At 38.6% G+C, this 19,807-nt stretch overlaps 1 protein-coding gene across 17 annotated transcripts in view, besides 1 other annotated feature; it reads right to left on the reverse strand.

The window, feature by feature from the left end:
- GLIS3 (GLIS family zinc finger 3) overlaps positions 1 to 19,807 on the reverse strand; it is a 666,339-nt gene that overhangs the window by 402,980 nt on the left and 243,552 nt on the right. The window lies entirely within an intron of this gene.
- Positions 10,854 to 11,373: an enhancer, noted in NCBI's record as "NANOG hESC enhancer chr9:4237960-4238479 (GRCh37/hg19 assembly coordinates)". NCBI's record gives its function as "activates a minimal SCP1, AML or CMV promoter by ChIP-STARR-seq in naive H9 embryonic stem cells {active_cell/tissue: H9 hESC(naive)}" and the evidence as "EXISTENCE:reporter gene assay evidence [ECO:0000049][PMID:30033119]".

A 19,807-nucleotide genomic window follows, 5' to 3' on the forward strand; every position in this document is an offset into this window, starting at 1 on the left:
GATGGGCACGGGCACAGAAGGAGGCACTGGAGCCTCAGGTCTTGCTGCAGCAACTGGCAACCTAAGCAAGCACCCCTAGTTTTCTCTTCCTCCCTCGGTTGGGTGTTCCATCCTGAGGCAGGTTATTTTACCCCGTCCTAGAAAGACAGGACAGAATTTGCCACACTCCTAAAGATGGTTCTGGGTCACGTTATGTTACCAAAAAAAAAAAAAAAAAAGTAAGTAAGTTACGCCCACACAATGATAGCCTTGAAAGGAAAATTAAGAAAAGCTACCGAAGGTTTTAAAGCAGGACTTATGGAAGAGGCAGTGACTTTCAGATTGTATTGATCTCTCTGATATGGAGCTCCATCCTAGCACAAAGGCAAAATATGGGGCCGATCAGTATTCTCTGGGCCAAAGAATACTCAAAATTCTCTGTGTGCTGTAGTAATTCCATGTGAGTATCTCCTATTGACTGCAAGAGTGACTTGAATCCTGGAAAAGCCAGTAACTGCAAGAGCTTTCAGGAACTCTGGAATGTATAAAGTCTTGGGATAAAGATATACAGCAGACCTATCCGGGACTTCTGTAAGACCAAAGGTTCTATTAAGACAGAAACCCAACATATTATCATGGGATGAAACCACTGCATAAAGTCAGGTGAAGCCAAGGAGCTCTGAACTCCCTTGAGGAAGGAAAAGCAAGGGAGAAGCAATTCTGATTCAATTAAAAAACAATGCTGCTAAGGGTCATAGAATGAAATGTTCTTCACTTCCCATTTCCAAGTTCTGTCCAGGGACCCGAGGGACACAGGCAAAGAAATGGTGGCATCGGAATGTACTTTGTGTTGAAATTGTTTGGGATCACATAATTTGTTGGGATCAGTACATGTCTAACTTAGAAAACTTTGATGAGCCCCACTGTATCCATTTCTCATCCTCAAACCAGGAGAATTTCTCCCCATACTTATAAGAACAAAAGGGAAGGGGCCAGGAGAATCACACAGTTATCAAGTGATCAGGGCCTTGTTGTCAGGGAATACAAATAAAGCAAATTTTTTGAAAGACAAAAGGGTAAAGTAGAAATTCATAAAGAGAAGTCTAAGGTGGCAAAAAAAAAAAAAAAAAAAAGAAGAAGATGGGAACCGCTCTCATGAATGATGATGAATTTAGTTTTAAAATGCTGTTTTAAATGCTGACGGGACCTCTAGGCACAACTGACAAGGGAGTATAGGGGAGGAGTCGGGGCTGAGCCGGAGAGGGGCTGTCCATGCGAATGTAACAGGTGAAGCTCTGAGAGTACATAACCCTCCAGTGCAATGATACATTCTCATATGTGTAGCCAAGACCAAATTTCTACCACGATAAATCTCAAAAGGATGCACCTGCAAAGATCTACTTTGTATATAAAATCATATTCATCATTATAAAATCTCATGTATTAACTAAGTGTCTGGTCTCATTAGATGAAGCTGCAAATACAGCCAGGGCAAGGGAAGAGCTGTAGCATCGCAGTACAGGTACCGTTCTACAAAGTGCTTCTTAATCCCCTATGTATGCATGTATCCATGTGCAAGCCTCTAGGCCTTCAGGTAAACACATCTTTGCTCTTAATAATCTGTGAACACAATATGAAATGAAAAATGATCAAAATGATGATGCTTCCTCTCTACATACAGCCCAAATACAGAAATTGCTGGTGCCACCTATTGTTGAAAACACAGAACTGAAGAGCCACACAGTGGAACTCTGCTCTGTTATCTCTCTGAGTATGAAGTTTCAAAATCTACCCACCAGAAGGGCCAGAGAAAGAGGGTTCATCCTACTCTAAAATAAAACAAACATGTCATGGACATTAACAACTCCTACATAATGCTTTGTTGAGTACAGCAAGATTCTAGCAATAGTTAACTGTTTTAATGTAAAAAATCATGAGGCAGTTTTGTATATATGGATGGGGAATGAGCTCCAAAATTAGTTGTTAGGTGTAAAAAACAAGGTTCATAACAGTGCGTATGATATGCTACCACTGAGGAAAAAGGTAATATCCATGTATAAAAGATGTGAGGAAGGATACATGAGGGAACAGCAACATTGGCCATCTCTGAGGAGGAAGCCTGAAGGCATGGGCTGGAATTAGAGAGATTTGCTTTCGCTGAAATCGCTTTCACTTTGTGCAAAAATTTTACCATGCGCACATACTTTCAAAAGATTTTAAGAATAATTGTTTTAAAGATAAATACTAATTTTGAAAACAATAGTTAATATTAAACTATTGTACATAAAGAAAGAATTGCAAGTTGTCTAACTTTGGTTGGTTAGCATGACCAGAGTTCTGGATCTGAGCAAAAGAGCACAACCTACTGGAATAACAGAAAAGTTATAGTGGGTCTTTAAAAGATTGTAAAGGAGGGCTGGAGAAGTGTCTCCTGCACAGTGTTATCCTTAAACGTAAAGTATTCACGGTACATTTAAAAGTGCCCTGAAGCACGGATATTTTCTGGTTCTCTGGATTTATTAAGATGAAGAAAAAAATATTTCCAGTTTTATTAACATTTGCTTTTTAAAGAGCTTTGATATAAAAAGGTTTTTATTACAATATTACTTCTTATTCAAAAGTAAAAGAAAGAGAACTCTAACAACACATGAAGCTCTTTCAGCTATTTTATAACACATATAAAAGCTAAGTGGAAATTTATACTTGAATACACATCACATCAAATGTCACATCTCCTGAAAATTGGTTCCTGAGAATAATTTCTGTAAACTTACTTATTTCTTAATATTATTCTCCCTAGCTTGGAATAACACTGATATTTACACTGAAGGTGGAGCTCTGAAATTTATTCTGAACATTGCCCAATCAAGGTAACACTAGGAAGAAAGTAAATCCCTTAATTTCTGAAGAAACTTTGGAAGAGAAGGAGGAAAGGACAGGAGACAGCAATAAAATAGTTCCTTGGCATTCCTGGGGAAAGGACTTCAAAGAAAGGCCGACGGGCCAAGTGAAATGGTATAGGTCAGGTCAAGTCAGTCCTGTAAGTTCAAGCTCCAAAACAGCCCCTCTGATCTAAACACATATTTTATATTGAAAATTTAATTTTAAAAAGTGAAAACCAGTAAGCGTCATCAGCCTTAAAGGCCCGATAAATCTCCACCAACTAAGAAAGAAACAGAAATAAAGAAAGTGGGGCGAAGGTCAATGAAATACCGAACTGCAGGCCAGAAGCAGGCAGGGGCAACAGAGAACTGGACTTGCGAGGGGTATGAGAACCCAAACTACCATGTGCTAGATGGGAAGGGAGTCTGGCTCACTCCTTCAAGCCAAAGACTGAGGTAGGGCCTCCTCCCTTCTCTGAAAATACCCAGATAGCCACACATTTGTAAAAGAAAGCGATAGAAAATGATGGAGGACCTATTATTTGGGGCCCCAGGGGTATCAGCAGCTGTGGACCTAGAAAAGAAGGAAAGAAGTCTCAGGAAAAGAATTGAGTCAGGTTTTCTGCTTACTCGATGCATCTGTGATACTGCCCAAGTCATCACAGAGCAGGGAAATATAAGCACCATTATAATACCTAATTATGGACTGCGCATGGGGAACCAGGTGAAAGTAACTGTGAAACTACAAAAGCATCCGTCAAAGAGGGAGAATAAAAGAAATAGCATAAAAAGCAAATATCTCTCAAGTTCAAAATGAACCTGCAAACTAAAATTCCAAAACACATAAAAGAATCTAATTCTAAGAAAGCCAAATCCCCCATCCAATTATAAATTCAGCCCACATGAAATTAATTTCATAGAACAGTCATACAAAGACTTTAAAATAAAAATGTTTAGAGCCAGGTGCAGTGGCTCACATCTATAATCTCAGCAACTTGGGAGACTGGAGTGGGATGATCACTTGAGCCCAGGAGTTTGAGGCTGTAGTGAGCTATGATTGTGACACTGCACTCCAGCCTAGGCAAGAGAATGAGACTGTCTGTAAAAAAGTAAAAAATAAAATAAGATAAATATGTTCAGGATAATGAGATGAATAAAGAAGCATCCATTTAAACAATTATAAATTTATGAAAATTAAAAAGCAGAGTAAGAACAGGTAGATATAAAAAACAATTAAGAATCTTAGAAAATAAAAGTACAGTCAACTGAACTAGAAAAACTCAATGAATGAGTTCAAATCTATACGTGACATATTAAAAATGAACAGTAAATTTGAAGATAATGGCAAGGAGCTGTTATCTTACTTTACCTAAGAGGAAGCATGGGAGAGAAGAGTCTGTTCTCTAAAATTAAGGTTCGGTTGAAAGGCCTGTAAGATAGATTGGCCAGCTCCAATATATATCTAATATCAATTTCTGAAAAGAATGGAAAAAAAATTATGAAGATACAATATTTGGAGAGATCTTCCAGAATTAGAGAAAAAGTCCTTAGATAGAAAGCATGAGCAGGAGAAAGATAAATCCACATCTAGATACATTATGATGGAACAGAAAAACATCAGAATAAAGCAAAACTCTTAAAGGAACAACAATTAGATGCTTAGGAAACGTCTTAAAAATAAACGTCAAGGCCAACAATGTAAAAATCTTCAAAGTTCTAAGGAAAACAGCTGTAAATCAATAATCTTATGACCAACTAAGTATTATTCAATCATTAAGGCAAAATAAGACATTTTCAGGCATTCAAAGATCAAAATTTTTACCAATGTAAACAATGGTCCTACTACTCACAGACCCATATGGGGAATATTAAAGGATGTACTTCAAATGAACTTAATGGAAGGCCTGCAACAAAGCCAATCAACAAAGCCCTGTGGTTGTCATTATGTTCCTGTTAAAGCCCCACCCTCTGATCCACAATAGGCAATTTGCCCAACCAATACTTTTTTTGGGTAACCAGAAAGCAAGAAAAATAATTTCACTCAACATTTAGCTTTGTATAGGATTTGTATAATTTTAACTTGCTGTTTTACAACTCAAAAAAATATTTTTAAAAATGAAACAGACAGGACTGGGCATGGAGACGCACACCTGTAATGCCAGCACTTTGGGAGGCTGAAGTGGGAGGACTGCTTGAGGCCAGGGGTTCAAGACCATCCTAAGCAACATAGCAAGATTCTGTCTCTACAGAAAAATTTAAAAATTAGCCAGGCATGGTGGCATGCACCTCTGTAGTACCAGCTATTTGAGATGCCAAGGCAGGGGGATCACTTGAGCCCATGAGTTCAAGGCTGCAGTGAGCTATGATCGTGCCTCTGTACTCAAGCCTGGGTGACAGAGGCAGACCTTGTCTCTTAAAAAAAAAAAAAAAAAAAGAAAAGAAAAAAAAAGAAAGAAACAAAGAAACAAAGAAGACACCTACCTTTAGCACAACACTTCAAGTTCCTATGTTTACTCTGCCATTTACTGGCTGTTTGACTTTCAGCAATATGATAACTCCTCTGAATTTCAAAGTGTTATTGAAAATATAGATAATAATCTCTGACTTACTGGTTTGTTTGGAAGTCAATATAAAAGAAATTTCCTAAACATTATACCAGTACTAGCAACAGGTAGGCTACTACAAAACAAAAGTAGTTATTATTACCATTATCAATAAAGGCTTCTGGAAGTACCCATAATAAAGATGAGGAAGTTGGAGGACACAGAAACGTTATCTAATATTAAGAGACTATCTGTGTCATTCCTATTCTTTGTTTTTCCTCCTAAAATGTCCAACCACTAGTCATATTTAAATAATTGGCACCAAGATCTAAATAGTGGTAAGTTAAAAATACCCAGGGAACTTTGACCATCCCAAAGAGCAGACTGTTAATCTTATTATACCTCCAGTGGTAGAATCAGTGTATAGACAAAATGTTTTTGTATTTAAGCCAGGTTCTTCTCTGTTTCTAGAATATCATCTGCTACTCCACTTCCAAGACCATTACTACCACCACACGACAGCAATGCTTATATTAATAAGGAGGATGAGCTCTAATGGCCAATTACATAATTTTGATACCAACGATACAAATACAAAGGTGACATCTTTGACATCTTTTCCAAAGAGAGAGTGTTCCCAGGCTGTCTTTGATCTTCAAACCTGACAGATGAGGTGAACCCTGATGCTCTTGGTTAGCTATTGCTTCTCTTGTGATCATCTCCATTCAAACACCCCAAGTTATAGCTGGCCACTGTCACCACAGAAACCCTCAATCTAGGCACTAGACAGGCCCCCTCCAAATAGGCTTGTACTTTATACCAGGACCAAACTGAAAGTTGAAATTACTCCTTGATCCTTGGGCTGCAGAAGGGATGTTGTGTTACCAATCATGAAAACACATTAATCTCCTTGTACATCTCCATCAGAGCTCTTCAGTAACCAGGTGCATTGTTAATGACTAGTAATATTTTGAAGGAAATCTTTCTTTTTTGAGCAGTAGGTCTCAACAGAGGACTTAAAATACTCAGTAAACCATGACGTAAAGAGATGTGCTCTCATCCAGGCTTTGTTGTTCCATTTATAGATCACAGGCAGAATAGATTAGCATAATTCTTAAAGGCCCTAGGATTTTCAAAATGGTAAATGAACACTGGCTTCAACTTAAAGTTACCAGCTGCATTAGCCCCTAACAAGGGAGCCAGCCTGTCCTTTGAAGCTTTGAAGCCAGGCATTGACTTCTCCTCTGTAGCTATGAAAGTCCTAGATGGCATCTTCTTCCAATAGAAGGCTGTTTTATCTACATTGAAAGTCTGTTTAGTGTAGCCATCATCATCAGTGATTTTAGTTAGATCTCCTGGAGAACTTGCTGCAGCTCCTACATCACCACTTGCTGCTTCAACTTGCCCTTTTATCTTATGGAGACAGCTTTTTTTCCTTAAACTTCATAAACCAACTTCTGCTAGCTTCCAACTTTTCTTGTGAAGCTCCCTCACGTCTCTCAGCCTTTGTAACACTGAAGAGAGTTAGGGCTTAATCTGGATTAGGCTTTAGCTTGAGGGAATTTTGTGGTCAGTATGACTGTCCATCCAGACCACTCAAACTTTCTCCGTATCAGCAATGAGGATATTTTGCTTCCATATCCTTCTTGTGTTCATGGGAGGAGCACTTCTAATTTCTTTCAAGAACTTTTCCTTTGCATTCACAACTTGGCTAAATGTTTGACACAATTGGTTTTAGACATGCCTTCCTCAATAGGCTTAAGCATTTCTAGCTTTTGAGTTAAAGTGAGATATGTGCGACTCCTCCTTTCACTTGAATACTTAAAGGCCATTCTAGGGTTATTAATTGGCTTAATTTCAATACTGCTGTGTTTTAAGGAATACAAGAGCACAAGGAGAGGGAGAGAGATAGGGAATGGGCACTCTGTGGAACAGTCAGAATACACACAACACTTATTGGTTAAGTTTGTCATTTTAGTCTTATATGGGCCAGTTCATGACACCCTAAAACAATTACAATAGTAACACAAAACATCACTGTTCATGGATCTTCGTAATAGATATTATAATAACAACGGAAAAGTTTGAAATATTACTAGAATTATCAAAATGTGACACAGAGACATGAAGTGAGCACATACTGTTTGGAAAAAATAGTGCCAATGCACTTACTCGATGCAGGTTTGCTACAAACCTTCAATTTGTCAAAAACACAGTATCTGCAAAGTGCAATAAACTGAAGCAAAATAAAATGAGGTATGCTTGTATTTGTGTGTTTATTGTTAATATAAAGAGCTTAAGTGACCTGCTCAAGGTCATGCAACTATTTCAGAAAATAGGTTTATCTGACTATGGACCTCTTAGTCCAAGCTCTTTGCTCCCTAAGAGTCCCTAGAGTTGGAAGGACTCAAAAAGGCATCGCCACATACACTCCATGGCATCAGTCCTGCCTCAGTTATGCAAGGAAAGCTGCACCTCACTGGACTTAATAAAAATGTGATGAGGGAGCCAGGCGCGGTGGCTCACGCCTGTAATCCCCACACTTTGGGAGGCCGAGGTGGGTGGATCACGAGGCCAGGAGATCGAGACCATCCTGGCTAACCCGGTGAAACTCTGTCTCTACTAAAAATTTAAAAAAAATCGCTGGGCGTGGTGGCACCTGCCTGTAGTTCCAGCTACTCCGGAGGCTGAGGCAGGAGAATCGCTTGAACCCGGGAGGCGGAGGTTGCAGTGATCCGAGATTGCACTACTGCACTCCAGGCTGGGCGACACAGTGAGACTCTGTCTCAAAAAAAAAAAAAAAAAACTGATGGGGGGAGTCATTGAGTGGGTAAAGTTGGGGAGGGTCTCCTGAAATATGTGCACAGACAGAAGGCTCATGCATGTGCCACCGCTTAAGACTCAAAATGCAACTTTTATCAACTTTAAGTTTCTAACGACTTGATCTCAGTCATTCAGCCATGCTGGAATTATGTTCAGAAGGTTTCTTGCAGTGATTTAGTCCTTTTGGTAAGTGCCAAACAGAGCAGAAGAATTCATTTACCCCCAGTTACTCCTACCGGCTCTAGACTAGCACCCTTTCCAATAGCCAGCAGTCCTCCTGTCTGTCCTCTTTGGAACGAAGGTCTTCTGTGAGTGTGAATGTATAAATGCAAGTGTCAGTGTGTAAAAACTCCATCGGGGCACTGAAGTATTCCCCAAGCTAGAAAAAAAAATCTGTTATCTTGGATGAAAACCAAGATCATTATCATTTAACCACTTTGCTGTACTTAAACATCAATAATAACATGGCTGTGCTCTGGTGAAAACTGATTAAAGAGAACCAAAAGAAAGAAACACAGGACTGAGTCAATCTCACTATGCAGAAAGCATCCCGGCATACTGATGAACTTCTTTTTCAAATGGTGCCAACTGACAGAAACAACGATCACCTCTAATGAACAAAATAACTATGTAAAAGAGATTCTGAGTATGGCTCAAGCTGCTTACTGATTAACGCTTTTGCACACAACACTCTACACAAACCTGTGTAGTCATTGTTCCTAGTAAAACAAGCCTTTGTTGACAACTGGAGACAAATGATCCTTGCCGACCAAGTTCACTGTTCTCACACAGCTTAATAGCTGGAGTAGTGCTCCCTGGCCACAGCTAGGAAAACTTGACGTGGTTGTCACAAAAAAAAAAAAAAAAAAAAAAAGAAAGAAAGAAAGAAAGGAAAAAAAAGAAAAACTAGAGAAGAGGGGAAACCTTTGTTCTGAAGGTGAGAAGGAGCCTGAATGATCTCATGCCCTAAACATGTTTGTGGTTTACATCAGTACGTCTCCTTCACTTATTAAAGTTGTGAGTTTTTAAATAGTTCCTGCTCCAAACAAACAGATTGCAATACTTAAGAATTCCCACTTTTTAAAAGTATTTCCCTTTTCCTCCCTTTTCCACATGGGTTGGGAGGTGAAGGATTTAATATTTGTTTTTAAGTTAAACAGTTTTTTTGTTACAGTATTTGCAAATATTGGCTGTAACTGTAAGCTGTAGAGGCATACCTCATTTTAAGAAAACCTGGGTGGAAAAAAATATCTGAAACTTAAAGCACAGCAGTCTAATTTCCACCACATGACCAAACATAATTCACTTCAGGGTTACCGTCAATGACAAGGTTCCCACAGTGCCTCATTTACTCATAAATATTATTGAGCCCCCACTATGTGTAAGGCAATTTTAGGTGCTGTTTACATAAAACAAGATTAATTTTATTAAAGTTTCATCTAATCCCTAAGTTTTTAGGCCCCAAATCTATTACATAAGACAATGCAAACTGGAAAAACAAATCCTTCCAACTGAGACTAAAACTTCCCTTCTGATTGGCAGATGCCTTTCTTACTTTTTTCCATAACAATTCATTAAAAATATTTTTTTGAAACCAGGATGGGCTCAGCATCGTCTCAGGTGAGAATCATTTCCAGTTGCACTAAATCTAGGGAATCCTTCACTCTGTAGCTTCATTAGGCACATGTGGCCACTCTTACTCTGCCATGTGGAAATCACAGAAATGTTTTAGAAAGCAATTTAGCAATAAGTATAAAGAATCACCAACATGTTCACTTCCTTCACTGATTTATTTCAAAAATAATCCTAAGGAAATAATCCAAAACAAGGGAAAACTGTATTATGTATTATAGCAGGTTATTTAGAATACAGAAAATATCCTTCAAAATAACCTAAAACGCCTTTGAAATAATTTAAATATTAAAGGCATAGCCGGTTAAGTACAGTACAGTCTCTAGACGGAATATTACACAGCCACAAAAATGATGACACAACATGAAGAATGAATAACCACTCATGGCAACTTTACATTAACTGGAAAAAAATCAGAATGTAGAATTAAGTCTATAATATAACTACAGGTATTTTAACATAAATATGCAAAAAATAAAAAAGTAGTAGTTTTACATGAAAGATAGATGAAATCGCTACTTCAGGCTCAGTCTACTGAGCCCTAGGGCATGGCTGAAAATCTACAAATGGCATCATTATCATTCAAAATGATAGTACTTTTTTAAACCAGCTGTTTCAGTGTAGCACTTTCATTACCAAATTCTGTTACCATTTTTACCCCAATTCCATAAATGTACATTTAGAAGTACAGTTTGTCAAACTGTTGATTCTCACCACTTGATTCACCCTCTCATTAATCAGGCATGCCTTTTGTTTTGCAGTATTTTCCCCACTGTTTCATTTGAGATTAACTTTAAATTGAGAAAATAACTACTGACAGGTTCTTTTCTCTCTTCCTGTTTTGGGACACACTGTAAGCACATTTTGTCTTTCCCAGTTCTCTCCAGCTTCAGCATTTTATCAGTTTGATGTGGCTTTAAACAACTTTCCCTTCCCTAGTTAATTCACTAGCCCAGCAGCTGCAAGGGACAAGATGAATCCTTTCCATGTTCCCCTTATTCTCCCTTTGAGCAGGGACTGTCCAGAACTTCCTCAGAATTTCTACCTAGGAATGTTCTAGACCAGAAATTTTCCTCAGGAATTTCCTGTTGCCACCCTGTCCTGCTTCTATACCAGTGAGCACAAAGTCAGGAGTAAGCCTTTAGGACCACTCCGTAAAAAAGCAACTGGGACTTCTCGTTCCTACTTTACATAAAGTTTATTCCCTGCCCCCTCCCGCTGCGCAAAGAGCTTCCTGAGAGACCGAAACAATGTGGCTAAAAGGAAGGCCAAAAGGAGGGAGGTGATCTCTTAATAGAACTCAGTATTTAATCCTCCCCCACCCCTAAGCTCTGCCCAGAATAGATGACACAGAAGGAGAGGGAATTGTTGTTTTGGTGGAGAGGAAGAATATGACCGTGAATATACTCCATTCTATTTGAGAATGAGAGAGTCTACCCACATGAGAGAAGATGTAAATCATCCCCCAACATTCTAACTTCCTTCCTGAAATACACCTAGACCTAGCAGTTTACAATAATTTTTAAAAAGTGCCAAATATGCCCCCAACTTACAGTGCTAAAACCACCGTGGCTACCTGAACTCAGAAGGCCCGTGTGAAGCAACCAAAGAAAGCTTAACCCTTTCTGGGAAGTAGAATAAGTTTTGCCAGTGTTCTCTCAGTTCTTCATAACCAAAAACAAAACAAAACAAAATTTACTGAGCACATGTTCTGTCTGTGTGTCATTCCTCATGAGTCAGACACCTTCTTATCCACTATACTGTGTGCCCACTTGACATCTTTCTTCCAGAGTTGGCTTTAATTAAATCCTTCAGCACTAATGTCCCAAAGCATTCCGTGAGTCAAGCTTTCCCTGGGGTTAAGACTTTTGAAATGACCAGCAGAGAGATGGACTCTAACTACTAAGACTACTATAGCCACAGCAGCTACTGCAGTGACTTTTTCACCACGAGGCAGCCAATTCAAAACAAACGTTGTTTTTTGTCCCTGCAGTAGTTTGCTGAGAATGATGGTTTCCAGCTTCATCCATGTCCCTACAAAGGACATGAACTCATCATTTTTTATGGCTGCATAGTATTCCATGGTGTATATGTGCCACACTTTCTTAATCCAGTCTATCATTGTTGGACATTTGGGTTGGTTCCAAGTCTTTGCTATTGTGAATAGTGCCGCAATAAACATACATGTGCATGCACTGTTGTGGGGTGGGGGGAGGGGGGAGGGATAGCATTAGGAGATATACCTAATGCTAAATGACGAGTTAATGGGTGCAGCACACCAACATGGCACATGTATACATATGTAACAAACCTGCACGTTGTGCACATGTACCCTAAAACTTAAAAGTATAATTAAAAAAAAAACCAAAAAAAATGTTCTCTTAACCCATAGACGTTCACGACTTTTTTTTTTTCTCTGCGATGAGGAAGATGAAGTTGTTAGACTACTGTATTCGTATTCCAATGAACGAACCTAGATTACAGGCTGCAGGGTTGGGGCTATTCCTAGAGACCTAGAGCAAACTCTACTTCATCATTAATGAGAAAACATTTGTGACAACCATCCCAACACATCAGTCATTGAGATCTTGGTATCAAGGTTGAGAACCACCATACTGATGTGCTCTAGCTTTCTATAAATTCAATGTAACAGAAGGTCTACGCTTTGGAGGCTATACTGGATCTGAATAAGTGATCTAAAGATTGTTTCTGACTTTTCCATTACCTACTTCCCTCCCTTATTAGATTGCATCTAGGACACTAAATAGGTTTTCATTTAAAAAGACCAACAGCTGATTACAAAGTATTTTGAAGCTATGTCTAAATGCAGTAGATAAAAGAACTGTGGTTGATTTGTATCATCTACCACGGTCATTAGATTTCAGGAGTGTTTGCAAATGGCACTTTGTATTTCCTAACTCTGTATCATTAGACCTTTACAGGAATAAAGGATAACAGCCCCATCTCAAACTCATCTGCCTTATTTTAGTCATTATTAAGTTACTTTTTTCTAACTTCACTTTTTTTACGTTGAATTATTTCTGCAACCATTTAACTTGATTTTTTTTTCAGTTCCAACTGAAGATAGATAAAATTATAGTATGTAAGTAGTGGACACATATTTTATCCTTCTTACAATTAATTCACCATCTAAAGCAGCGGTCTCCAACCTTTGTGGCATCAGGGACCAGTTTCATGGAAGACAATTTTTCCACAGATGTGGGGGAGGTGGGGGGGGGGGATGGTTTCGGGATGAAACTGTTCCACCTCAGATCATCAGACATTAGTTAGATTATCATAAGGAACGCACAACCTAGATCCTCACATGGGCAGTTCACAATAGGGTTTGCGCTCTTATGAGAATCTAACACCAGTGCTGATCTGACAGGAGGCACAGCTCAGGCAGTCATGTTCACTCACCCACCACTCACCTCCTGCTGTGGGACCCAGTTCCTAACAGGCTACGGACCAGCAGCAGTTCGCGGTCTGGGGATTGGGAACCCCTGATCTAAAGCATAACTTCAACGGTCCATTCCTGAGATTTTCTCTCCAAAAAAAAACTAGTAAAAATTATAAACAAGATTACAAGGGAAGATTACAAGGGGGTACTAATATTACACTTTATCTTCTTCACATAATCAATATAAATTAGCCTTAAAATCACAGAAAAGTAAAAAAGTTAGAAGAAATTCAAATACAAGTTGGAATCCTAAAAGGAATGAGACAACTATGTAACATAGTCCTGTTCATCAAATCACAGTAAAACCAATATTCAAACAAAAATGGATACTAGGCTTAATAGCTGGGTGATGAAATAATCTGTACAACAAACCCTCATGATATAAGTTTACCTGTGTAACAAACCTGCACATGTACCCCTGAAATTAAAATAAAAGTTAAAAAGTGAAATAAAACTCCATATAAATAAAAATTAATGACACAGGAGGAAAAAAAGAGAACTTTAGATACTCTTAAGAAAATATGTATGAGTGTGTGTGTGTGTGTGTACGTGTGTACATATTTTAAACTAATTTTCTATTGAAATGAATCTTAACGTGCATTTATTATCCTGTTCTTTCAAAATACTGATTGCAAATAAACATCTCTCCCCAACTGGACAAACCACCTTTATGATTATGACCTTACCAGAAAAACAAGGAAACCTGCTTCTTTGTGCACACTCTGAAATCTAAAGGTACATTCAACTCCAGACTGGATGAAGTGTGGTGGAGTAGACGTGAAAGGAAAGCAAAGGAAAATGCCCTCCAAGCCTGAGGCAAAAGATGGTGTCTCCCAAAGCAATTCATTGTCAGCTCAACTCTTTTTTTGCAAGACTTGTATTTTATGTTTTAAAATACAAGGCAGAGAGGTTGATTAATGAGTACAGATATACAGTTAGATAGAAGAAATAAGACCTAGTGTTTGATACATCACTAAGTTGACTATAGTTTAGAATAATTTATTGTATTTTTCAAAATAGCTAGAAGAGAATAATTCAAACGTTTCTACCTTAAAGACAATACTTGAGGTGATGTACACCCCAACTACACCCCAACTACCCCAAAACTATAAAGATTCGATCTTTATAAATTATATAAATGTATTATCACATATATCCCCAAAATATGTACAGCTATTATCAATTTTTAAAAAAAATTTAATGCAAGGGAATTTAACATTATACTCACAGCACACTTGTGCTTTTTTTGTTTTTTGTTTTGTTTTTTTTGAGATACAGTCTTGCTCTGTCTGGAATGTCCAGGCTGGAATGCAGCAGCGTGATCTTGGCTCACTGCAACCCCTGCCTCCTGAGTTCAAGTGATTCTCATTTCTCAGCCTCCCAAGTAGGTGTGATTACAGGCACGTACCACCATGCCCAGCTAGTGGTTTTATTTTTATGTAGAGACGGGGTTTTGCCATGTTGGCCAGGCTGTTCTCAAGCTCCTGGCCTCAAATGATCTGCTTGCCTTGGCCTCCCAAAGTGCTGAGATTACAGGCATCGGCCACCGTGCCTGGCCCCATAGCACATTTGCTTTAATACAGAAATCATATTACTGTTCTCTTCTTACATGTTAGAATAAAATTATGCCATATTTATCCTGCTGCTTTGGGTCTCTCAGCAATGAAAAGGAGTGTGCAGGGGTGCCCCAGGAGTCTGAGCAATAAGGGAAACCTGGCTTGCTGCTGTGTATACTTCCTGATCCAACCTGGACCCCATGAAACAGCTCCCACCTTGGTCAGTTTTGGATAAACGCTACCATTTATGGTTCCCCACGGTAACACAGGGCCGTCTTTTATCTTCTAATTCTAGGACATCTCCAGGAAGTGGGGGAAAAAAACGTGCCAACCAATCTATAGAAAACCTGCCCAGGTTTGGCTATTACCCAGGAAATCCTATACTTATTGCTCAAAAACTTGCTTTCTGAGGAACAATTCCCTTTATTCAGGGCTCTATAGGAATCCAGCTGCTCCCTCTGAGGTGAAACCAACCACAGTGGCATTCCAAAGCCCCACGTTCCACCAAACACTGATTCCGGCTACCTGCTGGGCATGACCAATGCATACTATGGAACCACCCTGGCTGAGGGAGGTTGTCTCACAACAGGCTCCCCATACCCAGTGGGTTCTAAGATTTAAAAGGTAACATGCTCCCTGTCCTCATCATGGGACATTCTATATCTGTGCATATCCAATAAGAAGCCACTAACTGCATGTGGCCACTGGGCACTTGAAATATAGCTAGTAGGAACAGAGGTGTGCTGTATAATTACACCCCAGATTCAGAAGATTTTGCAAAAATAATGTAAAATACCTCATTAACAAATTTTTATATTATGGGCTGAAATAGTATTTTAGATAAAAATGTATTACATAAAATATATTATTAATATTAACTTGTTTCATTTTACTTTTTTAATGTGGCTACTAAAATTTTTAAATTATGTATGCCATTCATATGTGTAGCTTACACTATATTTCTATTAGATAGTACTACTCTTGATAAGCCATAAATACAGAAAAGCTCTGCCTTGTATGTACATCAATGAGGTTTTAGTATATTCCAGATATTCTACCATGATTAATCCTTCAACCACTTGGTTCTACATTAGAGATTCCAGCCTTGGGTCTTCAAGGCCTTCCATCACCAAGAATCCTCTCTTGAGAAACAACCCTAGGGAGACTGACACCTTAATCCGATTTTGGTATCAAACCCACTTAATAATTAAGGGAGCTTAGCAAGCTCATATGAGAGTCAGATCTTGTTTAACCTGTGACAGAGTACAGTACAGGAAGGAGGAAGAGGAAGTGGCCAGAAAGGATCAGTCAGAGTGATTGAGGTGAGAGGGTATCAAAAAATCAACTTTCCCTGGTAGTCAGGTGATCCCAGTAGACAGAACCTCCATATACATGTTTACACATGCACACATACACGCACACACACACACACATACGCATAGAGTACTAACACAGGTATACACATTTAGTACTAACACCAGGGTAATCTTGAAAACTGCCAATGAGAAATGGTTCTAAGCATTTTAATTTCGCATTCTCTCTACTTAGTAGATTTAGAATAAAGAATATATGAAAAGATGGTTATTTTGCTGGTTATTTTGCTTTGGGATAATATAGCCTAGACCTTGGAAGAAAGATTTAATAGCCATTTTCAAATATGTGAAGGGTTATTACAGAGTGTCAGAACATCATTGTGGATCACTAAGGAAAATCAAAATGCCTCCCTGGCAGTTTTCTTAAAATAGTGTAGCCTCTCATCTGCCTGGAATGGATTAGGTGTAATCCACGTTGAAGGTGGGAGGCTAAACAGCTGTCGAGTTTGTAACTACCACAATGATTTACATTAGGAAGTAAATCAAAATCCCCACCTAACCCACCTGGTACAGGAAGATTTCCTTCATGAGGTGGAGCTTAGAAGAGGATGTGGAATAGAGCAGGGTCTACATGACTATTCCACTTTTTTGTATTACAACAAAATGAACTTCTTTCCCTTGCTGAGAACATCTGGCCATTCCCTGCCTTCTCCTTACTCTCGCCTCAACCCCCATGCACATACGTGCATACAAACACTTAAAATTTCCTTTCTGAATTCCACTCATCTTTCCAGCCCTAACTAACATTCCAAGCCTTCCATAAATCCTTCAGGGCCACCTCAGCTCATCCGTACTCTGTACCTCTTTAGTGTTACATGCACCTGTAGATTAAATTGCAGCTAAATCTCTCAATCAACTCACCAGAATAGCTCATGTCCTTCATTGCCTGTGTGAAACGTACATGGCACAGTAAATACACTTGGCTAGGAAGTTACTTTCTAATATGTCAGTGTACTTCAGCTCCTAACAATTGACTTGGATACTTACCAAGAGTCATTGTGTTTGTTCCCAAACCTGTTAATGTCAGACATGCTTATGACAGGCGTATGCTGTTAGTATTTACATAATTTAATTAAATATTACATAAAATGAGTACAAAAAGAAAGCAGGTTGTTTATTCTGAAAACTACATTGGAAAGAGTTTTTTTAAGGTGAACTGCTTTTTTAAAACTGCTGCTGAATCAGATGTGAGGTAGATATCTGTTAAAGATCTCAAGGAATTTTTTTTCTTTTTTTTGAGACGGAGTTTTGCTCTTGCCACCCAGGCTGGAATGCAATGGTGCAATCTTGGCTCACTGCAACCTCTACCTCCTGGGTTCAAGTGATTCTCCTGCCTCAACCTCCTGAGTAGCTGGGATTAGAGGTGTCCGCCACCACACCCAGCTAATTTTTGTATTTTTAGTAGAGATAGGGTTTCAACCATGCTGGCCAGGCTGGTCTCGAACTCCTGGCCTTAGGTGATCCACCCGCCTCAGCCTCCCAAAATGCTGAGATTACAGGTGTAAGCCACCATGCCTGACCACAAGGAATTTTTAAATCTAAAATGATTCTACACTCAAGAGTGGTTTACAAATATTTTTAAGTTCTCATTCTACGTTAAAGAATACTTTTAAATTATAGAAGAGTTATCCAAGAAAAAATGATTGATGTAGACCCCAAGAAGATCCTTAATCAAATAAAAGATCTTGGTTCTACATCAAAAGACTGGTAAATAAATACACATCTAGATGCTCTAAGTTGCTGTAACGTGTCTAGGTATGTATGTATCACAGATTTATGACGTCCCACTTGAACCATGTTTTCTTAATGATCTGAGCAACAATCAGTCCAGATCATGTTGGTTTAGAGGGATTCTATTGTTTTTGTAGGTATGTGGCCTCAAACCCACAATGATTATTATTATGTCTTTCAGAGAAGAGACTGTTGTGGTCCACAGCCCTCAGCATTCCACACGGGATCAAGTGTTTTACAAAAGGTAAAAGTCACAGTTGCCTAGGAATCGGAAGACCCAAATTCGGGTGCGAACTCATCACTTTGCCAAATTTCAATTATAAGCAATTTTCAGGTTCTACATGTTATAAAACAGGAACCATAACACTAGACCTACTTACTTCATGGTGTATGTACAGGAAACAACGTAGACAATATTAGAAAGGCAATTTGAAAAATGCGAAGAGCTATATAAATGTAAGGATGTGCAGTGGATGCTAAATACGTTTTTCTTAAATGAGTGAGTAAAGAACAATGGAAACAAACAAGCAACTCCCTTAGACTCCAATGGCACGGAGAAAGGATTGTTTTGAAAACTGATATAATTTTCAATGTTTGAGGTGATGGATACGCTAATTATCCTGATTTGATCATTACACATTATATACAGGTATATAAATACCACTATATCCCATAAATATGTAGTTACTATGTGTCAATTAAAAACAATAATAATAATAAAGTGCCCTGTATTGATGCAAGGTTGGCCTGAACACAGAATTTCAACTGACTAGCAAAGTAGGTAAATCTCACAAGTTTTGCTGGTCTTTCATATCTTCTATTATTTCCTCCGGTATTTATTTTTATTTTTTCAGACTGTCTTAGCAAACTACATAAAATCAGAGAAAAGTAATTCTCGGCTGTGTTTCTACCTCCTCTATCTGCCAGAAAAGGAAACATCCATTGTGAGTAGGACCCATTTCATTCATGAGGCTAAGAAGCAATAAACCCTCTTAAAATACCTATTTCAGGCCAGGCACGGTGGCTCATGCCTGTAATCCCAGCACTTTGGGAGGCTGAGGCAAGTAGTTCAAGGCCAGCCTGGACAGCATGATGAAACCCTGTCTCTACCACAAATACAAAAATTATCCAGTCTCATAACCCAGTCTCAAAAGAAACAAATTAAACACAATTTTAAATAACTATTTCATTTAAATGGTTAGTGATGCTTTTGCTGATCAGCAATGAAGAGCCTTTGCATACACAAATCAACTTATATGAAGTTAGTCACTGCCCAGAGGAAGAAACAGGCCACTGATATTCCCAAGAATGTAGACAGGAAGTAGACTTCTCAGGATCTTGTTTAAGGTAAGATATTTTCACAACTCAAGAGGTATGGTCTTATACGGCTACCATTTCCATGCATTTTCCCTAAGTGACATCTGCAGTTGTTTCAGGATGTCTAATGTCTCCCTTAAAACATAAGCCGTGAGTAATCGCTTGAGAAGCCATAGCCCATTACTGCAGCAAAGCATTTTCCAAACTGAGACTGGAGTTCAGTATCCCCACTAACTGCTACTGACTCAAGGCAGCTACCTGATATGAAATGGTGCTAAAGTTATATGTAAGAGCTGGTCTCATCCTTTACCTCCTATCATTTCCTAAAACAAAACTGCATGTGGCCTGTTGTAGCAGCTATTTGGAGTTCTTAAACGGGTTTTTCAAGTTCTGTTCTTTTGGACCCCTGACATAAAACTTTAAATTGTGTTTCATTGGTTTTTATGAATATTATTTAATGAATATTGTCCAATGAGATAATCTCTTATTTTCTCCAGGCTTTTTCACATTG

Source organism: Homo sapiens, chromosome 9, assembly GCF_000001405.40.
Source record: "Homo sapiens chromosome 9, GRCh38.p14 Primary Assembly".
Taxonomy (NCBI): Eukaryota; Metazoa; Chordata; class Mammalia; order Primates; family Hominidae; genus Homo; species Homo sapiens.